This window comes from Homo sapiens, chromosome 7 (genome assembly GCF_000001405.40).
Source record: "Homo sapiens chromosome 7, GRCh38.p14 Primary Assembly".
NCBI classification, from domain to species: Eukaryota; Metazoa; Chordata; class Mammalia; order Primates; family Hominidae; genus Homo; species Homo sapiens.
Genome location: NC_000007.14, coordinates 152,967,310 through 152,977,041, shown reverse-complemented (window position 1 = coordinate 152,977,041; position 9,732 = coordinate 152,967,310). Strand labels below are relative to the sequence as shown.

Below are 9,732 nucleotides of genomic sequence, written 5' to 3'. Positions count from 1 at the left end.
CACACATGCAAACAGAGACACATGGAAATGAAACTCTGTCTTTATTCCAGTCACAAAATTTGGGGTAGGGATTTGTTTGTATGTGTGAAGTAGTTTGTCTTTAGTCAAAATAGTAATAGTCAGTATCATACTCCACGTAATCACTGGATTTTGGAGAAAATTCATGTTTATATAGGAAATCAGATTCTCCATTGGATGATGGAGTTGACACCACAGAGGATATTCAAAGGCTCTAAGAGGAAAAATATCTAACTTATTTCTAAGCCACGGCAATACCATTAAAGTTATTACACAACATCCCACATGGACATTTGACAGGAATAAAATTTGTTTGGATGCCTACATTTTAATCTGTCTACTTTTTAAAAAATAATCGTATGACCTCATACATATCTTAAAATGAAGAAGTATCTTAAAGGGGCCTCTTCAAACTCTCCTCTCCTTCTCCATACCATTATTAAAATCTTCTAGCAAGAGCATTGACAAAGAGGCCAAAATTCTATACCCAGGGTATTTGATGTTTGACTACTGAACAAATCCTAAAGCCAAAGAAATAAACAGTAAAAATTTTTTATTTATCATAAGTTCAGTGATAAAAATTTTCAGAAAGGCAGTTGGACATAGCTTAAAATTACATCTTAGCAGATACAGATATCTACTAAGTCTAAATCTCTGTATTAGCTTCCTATGGCTGCTATAACAAATTATCACAAACTTTTTGCTTAAAACAACACAAATTTATTATCTTATAAATCTGGAGGTCAGAAGTCTAAACTGGGTTTCACTAGGCTAAAAACCAAGGTGCCAGCAGGGCCAGGCTCTTGTTTCCAACTTCCAGAGCCATGCTCTTTGCCCCCTTTGACTCGTGGCCTCTTCCTTCATCTTCAAAGCCCAGCAGTGCAGCATCTTGCTTCAAGCATCACATGGCCTTCTTCTTCTGTAGCCAAGTCTCTCTCTGCCTCCCTCTTAAAAGGACACTTGTGATTGCAGTTAGGGCTCACCCAGATGATCCAGGCTAATCTCTCCAACTCAAGACCCATCACTTAATTACATCTGCAAATGCTCTTTTGCTATATAAGGTAACATTGACAAGTCCAGGGATTAGGACATGAATATCTTTGGGGAGCATTCTTCAGCCAACCACACTCCCCTACAAGACAATGAATGTATAAGGGGTAAGAACTGCCTTTCCAACTCCATCCACAGGACGTTGTAAGGTTACCAGTGCTCAACCAAGTTTGCCAGATGAATGCATTCACTTAACTACCCATCCTTCTACAATCACCACCTTAACTTTTGAGTTTCCATAGCTAGTCTTTGACTTTTTTTTTTTTACAAATATATATTTGCCTTATAACATATTTTGCATATGCACTTTAAAAAGCATTGGTGAGGCGGTACGTGGTGACTCAAATCTGTAATCCCAACATTTGGGGAGCCTGAGGCAGGAGGATCACTTGAACCCAGGAGTTTGGGACCAGCCTGGGCAAACTTTATAAAAAAAGAAAGAAAGAAAAAAAGTATTGGTGAGCCATTTGTTTTTATCTCAAAGTTTCCTTCAAACTCTCTGGCTTTTGGTGATTTCAGAATAGGGATTTATTTTTCCCATTTCCTTCTATCTTCTTTGTTTTTCCATTCATCCTATAAATTTTTCTCAAAACATCTGGCCCAGGGTCACCAGGCCCTCCTGGAGAAGCCTAATCATGTGGCTTCCCCCAATCAGAACTAGCCTGTATCATATTTCAATTGCCAGCCAGTTTAATCATCCCTTCTGTCGGGAAAGTTAGGCTTATGGATAAATCAAAGCAGCTTTGCAACAAAAGTCAGGGACAGTATAACTTCCCGGGAAGAACTTTGCCTTGCAAATATATAGCTTTCTCCATCATAAACAAGGTCACCAACACTACCTTTCACCTTGATGAGAAATTCAAATTTTCAAAAGAAAAATATTGCCCTACAGGTAGAGGAATTTTAGCCAATCTTAGAGTCTTTTAAAAATAAAAAACATAATTTCTCCATCATAAATTTGTTCTGGTTAACCCAAGAAGACCTGTAGTGTTTTATTTGTGTAACCAAACATCTTAAATCTCACTGCTGACTACAAGTCCCTAAATCTAACTGTTTTTGCTGACAAGAAAGGAAAGTCTGGAAGGTTCAGATTCTGCAGACATTTTTCTTGGCTTTGGTATTCCTCACCAGTGGCTGCCAATTTGATGCTGTCACCTTTGATCACTTTGTTTGTTTGGCAGGAGACTGTGAAAAAGGACGACTTGTGCCCCATTCATCCTGTGAGTCTGAACCATGGTCAGCAATGCACGAAGGAAGGAAGGCAGCAAGGGCCAGGAGAGGTGGGGTGCAGGGCTGCGTGCAGGCTCAGGGAATCACTGCACCATAAATACATGTGTGGCAGAATACATTTCTCAAAAGTGTCCACAGAATAAAAATATCTCCCAGGCTCTTCTAGGATCTTACCCTTCCCCATTGAGAGAGGAAGTCTATTTACCTTGAAGATACAAGGGACTTTAACTGCCTCAATGAATAGAATCCAAGAGAAATGATGCTGGGTGACTTCCAGAGCAGGGTCATAAAAGGCAATGCGCACTCTCAAGCACAAGTTGTCTGTGCTCTTGGAGCCCAGTGACCATGTTGTTTTAAATCCAAGTCCCCATGAAGTATGTTCCATCTGAGAGTCCCCGCTGAGGTGTCAGACAACATTCAGCAGCAACTACCAGAGTGAGTGAGTGAGTGAGTGAGGCTTCTGAAGATTCCAGCTCTGGTCTTCAACCTGCCCTCACTGATGGTGAATGGAGTAAATACAAGCTATCCCCATCAAGACCTGCACAAACTGCACACGCATGAGTGACATGGCTTGAATCTGTGTCCCCACCCATATCTCATGTTGAATTATAATCCCCAGTGTTGGAGGTGGGGTCTGGTGGTGGGTGATTTGATCAGGAAGGCAGTTTTTCATGGTTTAACACCATCCCTCTAGAGCTGTGCTCATGATAGAGTTGTCAGGAGATCTGGTTATTTAAAAGTGTGTAGCACCTCCCCACTCTCACTCTTCCTCCTGTTCCAGCCACGCGAGACATGCCTACTTCTCCCTTTGCCTTCCGCCATGATTGTAGGTTTCCTGAGGCCTCCCAAGAGGCCAAGCAGATGCCGGCATCATGCATTCTGCACAGCCTGCAGAACTGTCAGCCAATTAGACCTCCTTGATTTATAAACTACCTACCCATTCTCAGGTATTTCTTTATAGCAATGTGAGAATGGACTAATACAATGAGCAATATAAATGGTTGCTTTTTAAGCCACTAAGTTTGGGGTAATGTATTACACAGCCACAGTAAATGGAACAACATGGAGGCTGGAGACCAAGATAGGTCAAAGCAAGGCCCATGGGCAGAAGACAGGGGCCAGCAGAACAAGCCAGCAGGCAAAGCACATCAGGAAACAGGGTAGTGAGCCAAAGTTGATTTTGAAAGATCATGGGAACTGGAAAGAACATGAGGCCAAGAATCCTCTTCTATTTCTCCAACTTCAGGAAAAATCATTTTCATGCTGAAAGCCTATTTTTATAATCGATGACTACTTATATGTGGGTTAAGAAATTTTAGGCTGGGCGCAGTGGCTCACACCTGTAATCCCAACATTTGGGGAGGCCAAGGCAGGAGGACAGCTTGAACCCAGGAGTTCAAGACCAGCCTTGGCAACATAGCAAGACCCCCATCTCTACCAAAAAAAAAAAAAAAAAAAAAAAAATTTAATTACCTGGGCATGGTTGTGCACACCTGTAGTTCCAGCCACTTGGAAGGCTTGAGCCCTGGAGGTGGAAGATACAGTGAGCTATAATCACACCACTCCACTCCAGCCTGGACAACAGAGCAAGACCCCCATTCTCAAAAAAGAAAAAAGATTTTAAGTCTCCAAAGTTAAGTTCCTATTTTATATGACGAAACAGCCAAGTTTTTGCAAAGGTCATGATTACATTACCAGTCCATTGTTATATCCCATTTCTCTCTCCTAAGCTCCAGGTGGCACCTGCCTCTGCCTGACCCACAGGTACCTCAAATTTAGCATATGAGAATGAGCTCATCTTCCTACCTCCCTCCACAAGCACTCCTTCTGAATTCCCTATCTCGATTAGCGGCACCACCATGCGCTTCATTTGTTAGGCCAGAAAATGAAGTGGCATCCCAATTTCCTCCCACTCTTTCTTCCCAAATGTTACCAACCGTCAAGTCCAGAGAGGTGCCTCCTTACCTCCTGTTTGCCTCTCCTCCCCACTCACAATGCCAGGACCCGGTTCAGGCATTCATTTTCACTGAATTTGCTGAATTCTCTCATCCCCCCTGGAGTCCCTGCCTCTACTCTCTCCTCTTTTTGGCCCATTGGCCATTTCTGTGCAGAATGACCTTTCTGCACAGAAATTAGATCAGTCATCTTCTTGTTGAAAGTCTTTCCTGAGTCCCTATCAGTACCAACATAAGACAGAAGAACGGCAGGCAGGACCTTTCCAAGGTGGGTGAGTCCTAGCTCCATCTTCAGTCCCACCCCTGTCTCTCCTGTCTCAGGCTGTGGTCTCCAGGAACAGACAACATGCCTTCTCCGACTCTCCCATCCTTCCTGCCTCTATGCTCTCAGGCTGTGCCCTCCAGGAAGAGACAGTGTGCCTTCTCCGACTCTCATATCCTTCCTGCCTCTGTGCTCTCAGGCTGTGCCCCCTAGGAACAGACAATGTGCTTTCTCCAACTCTCTTATCCTTCATGCCTCTGTCCTCGGGCTGTGGTCTTCAAGAACAGACAATGTGCCTTCTCCAACTCTCCCATCCTTCCCTGCCTCTGTACTCAGGCTGTGGTATCCAAGAACAGACGATATGCCCTCTCCAACTCTCCCATCCTTCCCTGACTCGGTGCTCAGTCTGCAGCTCTGCTGAGTGCCTTCCCTGCCCATATCCTCCAGGCAAGCTCAGCCTCACACCCAGTCCCATCCCAAATGCCCCCCTTATCAAGCTCAGCTTGACTCCCTTCATTGTACTTGAGTTGCCTCCCTATGATCTCGCTATCATCAGAGCATCCATTTATTCTAGTACATGTGCAATCAGATTTCAATTGTCTGCCTGCATGCCTGTCTTCCAACAAGATTTTAAGCTTCGAGAGTTCAGGGATCATGTATGTTTACCTGTATCTCCAGTACTTAGCATAGCACTTCTTCACATACAATAGGCCCTTACAAATACTTGATGCTTGACAGAAATAACAAGAAAAATAAAACCCACAGAAACTAAAAAGGATTGAAAGAAATAATGTATGAACAAATGGATGAATAAATGAACGAGCATAGAAATGGGTGATGCTTAAGAAACTGAGCCAAATGCTGGCTCTGCCATTGAGTTATTTACAACTTGGACTCTTTGTTTCCTTTCTCTAAGCCTTAAGTCCTTCATCTTACAGGGAGAAACTGGGGATACCTTATCCTCAAATTCCCTTCCAGTTCTCACTTCATAGGAGCGATGAGAACTCCCTCAGCTGGACCAGAGAGCACTGCCCACAGAAGTGGTTCCCAAACAGCCAATCATTGGAATCACCCGGGAAGCTTGTGAACACCTGAGACTCCTAACCCCAGCACAGACCCACTGAACCACAACCTCACAGAGGGGACGTGAGTGTTTTGAAAAAGCTCCTCAGATTACCCTGAGGCTCAGCCAGACTCCAGAAGCCTTGGACCAGCAAATACAGCAGGGTGTCTCAGATATGATCACTTGCAGACCCCAGAGAAAAGGCTTGATCAAATCTGCACTGAAAGTTAAATAAAGAGACCAGTGGAACAGGACAGATAGTCTAGAGAATGACCTATAAGGACTCCCTGAAAACACTGGTATATTTAGAATGATGGTTAGCCGAGAGCTTCTATCTCACTGCAGTAAAGCAGGGCAGTGTGTGGATGGCCACTTCTGTGGGTTGAATGTTTGGTGACAGAAACCCAGCCAGAAGAAGCAACGTAAAATGGCCCCAGTAGGAATTACAATTGAGAAAAAGGTTTTTTTAGAGCTCTATAATAAAAAGTTGACTTAGTTAAAACTGACGTTTTGTTGATATATGTATACATATATACATATACATACACAGCCTTAAGGCCTCTGTTCTGTCTCTGTAAAATTTCTCCATCCACTGGATCCTGTTTCTTCATTTGCTTCTGCCTGTCCCTCCTTCCTCTTGCCACCCTCAGTGTCACAGGTAGCAACTATCTGGGCCAGCGGCACAGGCAGTAAAGGAATTTACCAAGATAGTCGTAGGTAAAGAAAGGCAGATTATCAGAGAAAGTGCAAAGTTGCAAGAAAGCAGTGGGCAGATCAGCAAGAGAGGAGCTGAGTTCCAGGAGACAGAGGATTGCTGGGGATTTTATAGGATGATGCTTGTGCTGGAGAGGGCTACACGCAGTTCTGATAACCCTAAGGTTGCAGTGAGCTAGCTTGCATTCTTCTATCAGCGAGGTGTTTGTTTGATAAGTCGAGGTGTTTGATGATAAGTTGGGTGGGAAGATCATGGGTCATGTGAGTTATCTGTGCAGGAGGGCTACGTGTCCTGGACCATTAAGAAAGGCAGACTTACAGCTCATCTGCTTTTTCTTTTTGCTTTCCCCTGCTCCCACCAGCCTGACACCTCTTCTCTAATTAGGACTGCATACTCAATGCCATATGAGGGACCCAAAAAGGGAAATTTCTGACAGCCTGGGATCCCTTGGGGAAAATGGAACAGATACCAGACTCTTTCTAGAAGGATCATTGGTTTTTCTTCATGGAACTCCAAGAGTCATAAGTGGACAGATAAGACTCTACTGCCTTTTATATTGCTTTTCCTGATCTCTTTGGCTTTGGGGATACCAAAGACTGGATGGTACCATGAGTGGATTTGACCTCAACGCATGTGTGGTGTCTGGCAGTGTGATGGCAGTGAGAGCTTCAGTGCTGGGAGTAGCTGAGGACAGTTGTTTGCAGGAGATGGTCATTGCTGCAGGAGGCTGCTTGGTTCTTTGGACATTTGGATAAGAAAAGCAGGGTGCAGGCCCTAAAAACTGCATGCCTTCTTGGCCTTGTTCTTTAAAGGGCTTCACTATAAAGCTATGATCTAATTAAGAGACAAGCCAAGTTGAAAAGACAACTTATCCATTTTAATCATTCAACCACATATGGTTGGCTGGTAAATAGCTTATTCTGATACAAGAATCTTGGGTGCGTATGGAAAGATTGTGAAAGAGGGTGTCTTGCATCAACAGCTGTCTTATTTATGATATATAAGTAGAAATACAGCAAATGTTGTTGGAATCTGTTATTTTAGTACCATTTCTCTAATAAAGCTAAGTATTTTAGAGGGGAAAAAAAGACCACTTATCAAACTAAATCAGTCTTTGAAACTCTTTGTAGAAGAAATTTACATCTTTAAAGGAAATCTCCATTTGTAAGGGCATCTCTGTCACTGCACTTAAGCCACTAGGAATGTTCACTATGGGAAGACAATGGCTTAGAGTTTACATAAGAAACCTTGCTTTTGTTTAGATCCGAGTCCTGTGTCTTTGAGAGGTAAACTTTCTATCTTGTTTCTCCTGAGTCCTGCCTTTGGAGATGCATGGAACAGATATGCAAGAGATTAATACTCTAAGATAGGGAATAAACTTTTTGAAAACTGGTGAGTGAAAAGTCTTATAAATTCATAAGATCTGCTTCTGTGCATCTGTTATATGCTTATATACATACATATACATCTGTTATATACATACATATAGACAGATGTATATAGCATCTGTCTATATGCTTATATGTGTCATGAGTATGTGACATTTCACTACCAAAACATATGAAAGGGCTCTAATCAATTGGCTTAAGGAAAAATCAAGTGCTTAAATCAAATTTTTATTTTAAAAAATAGAAGCTAGCTCAAATATCTTTTAGTTCATGTGACTTTGGTAATCTTTGGTAAATAAACTAGTTTCAAAATTCTCTTGAGTAATTTGAAGTCTTAAAGTCATGTTAAACTAAGTAATCCTGAGACCACAGTATTGCAGTAAAGTTTAACTGACAGAAGGCCAACCCACACAAGAGAACTGGAGTTACCACTCAAATCAGTTTCTCTGAAGCCTCGGAAGTTAGGATTTTTATGGACAATTGGTGGGCAAGGGGCTAGGGAATAGAGTTGCTGATTGACTGGACATGAAATCACAGGGGTGTGGAAAATGGTCCTCGTGCACTGAGTCCACTTTTGGGTGGGGCCACAGGACAAGCTGAGTCATGAATCATGAATCTGGATGGGGCCCATCTGAAAAATATCTCAAAAAGCAATCTTAGGTTCTGCAGTAGTAATGTTATCTATAGGAGCAACTGGGTAAGCCACAAATCTTGTGACATCTGGCCACATGACTTCTGAGCAGCAAGGGGTTATAGAAACTATACCAACATTTATCAGAACTCAGGCCCCTTCCATAATCCTATTCTTGTGGCCTTTTATTAGTCTCATGAAGGTGATTTTCGGTCCCTAAGCCAGGAGGGGATTAGTTTGGGTGGGGGACTATTAGCATCCTTGCTTTCAAGTTAAACTATTATTGGCAGTGGTGAATCCATATGGGTCTTCAGCAACTCAATTCTTGCCTCCTCAGAAGAAAGAATTTGACTGAGGGCCATAAGGCAGAGTGAGAAACCAAGGCAAGTTTTAGTGGAGGAGTGCACATTTATTAAAAAGTTTTAGAGCAGGAATGAAAGGAAGAATACTTGGAAGACAGCCAAGCAAGCAACTTGAGAGAGTTAAGTGCTCTGTTTGACCTTTGACTTGAGGTTTCATATGCTGGCATGCTTCCAGGATTGCATTACTTCTCCCTTGATTTTTCCTGGGGGCAGGCTGTCTGCATGTGTACTGGCCTGCCAGCACTTGGGAGGGGCCACATGCACAGTGTGTTTACTGAAGTTGTGCAGATGCTCATTCGAGGCCTTCTTCCCTTACTAGCTGAGCATTCCTAGAGGAAGGTCATATACTGGTTAAACCCTGCCTCTTTGCCTTTTAATGCATATGCTTGAGCCCACTCACCCAGCTCCTGAGATCTTACTGGGAAGCCGCTAGCACCAGCTTCAGGTTTTTTCTATCTATTAGGAGATTGCCTTTCTCTGGCACCAGCTCTAACCAATTATTATTTTAAAGAGCCAGCTTAGCAATTGCCTATCACCTGATGGTCACCTGACATTCCTGCCCTGCTCATGCCTGCCTGACTACCTACTGTATGTAATGCAACCCTCCCTATAAATGCCAAGTGAAGCACCCTAGATGATGCAGTTGATATGTTTTGTATGCAAGCCGTGGGGGATTTGCTTTATGATGACAGGGACTTTCACCCAGGGAATATGCCTGTTACCCAGGTCATGGTAAGTGCTATGGTGAATAGGGCCCCTTCTATATGGGCACCTCATGTTATTCTGGCAGAATCTAACAATTGGAGAAGCCTTATCTTACAAATGCTAATAAAAATATTAGGTTAATTAATGAGAGGGAAGAGTCATGGACCTACCCCAACAGGGTAGAAATATGTATACAGTTATTAAGAAATGCAATGAATAAAATGGAAACCGATGAGGTTAAACAAAAGGTCTTAATACAACAATACAGAAGACTGGGTGAACCAAAGGGAGCCCCTGCTGGTCTCCCAACACTAAGGGGCCCCAAACAAGTTTTCTGTATTTACCCCCAGATT

General features: G+C 42.8%; 3 annotated features.

The window, feature by feature from the left end:
* Positions 6,028-6,902: an enhancer, noted in NCBI's record as "NANOG-H3K27ac hESC enhancer chr7:152667225-152668099 (GRCh37/hg19 assembly coordinates)". NCBI's record gives its function as "activates a minimal SCP1, AML or CMV promoter by ChIP-STARR-seq in primed H9 embryonic stem cells {active_cell/tissue: H9 hESC(primed)}" and the evidence as "EXISTENCE:reporter gene assay evidence [ECO:0000049][PMID:30033119]".
* Positions 6,903-7,778: an enhancer, noted in NCBI's record as "OCT4-NANOG-H3K27ac hESC enhancer chr7:152666349-152667224 (GRCh37/hg19 assembly coordinates)". NCBI's record gives its function as "activates a minimal SCP1, AML or CMV promoter by ChIP-STARR-seq in naive and primed H9 embryonic stem cells {active_cell/tissue: H9 hESC(naive and primed)}" and the evidence as "EXISTENCE:reporter gene assay evidence [ECO:0000049][PMID:30033119]".
* Positions 7,779-8,654: an enhancer, noted in NCBI's record as "NANOG-H3K27ac hESC enhancer chr7:152665473-152666348 (GRCh37/hg19 assembly coordinates)". NCBI's record gives its function as "activates a minimal SCP1, AML or CMV promoter by ChIP-STARR-seq in naive and primed H9 embryonic stem cells {active_cell/tissue: H9 hESC(naive and primed)}" and the evidence as "EXISTENCE:reporter gene assay evidence [ECO:0000049][PMID:30033119]".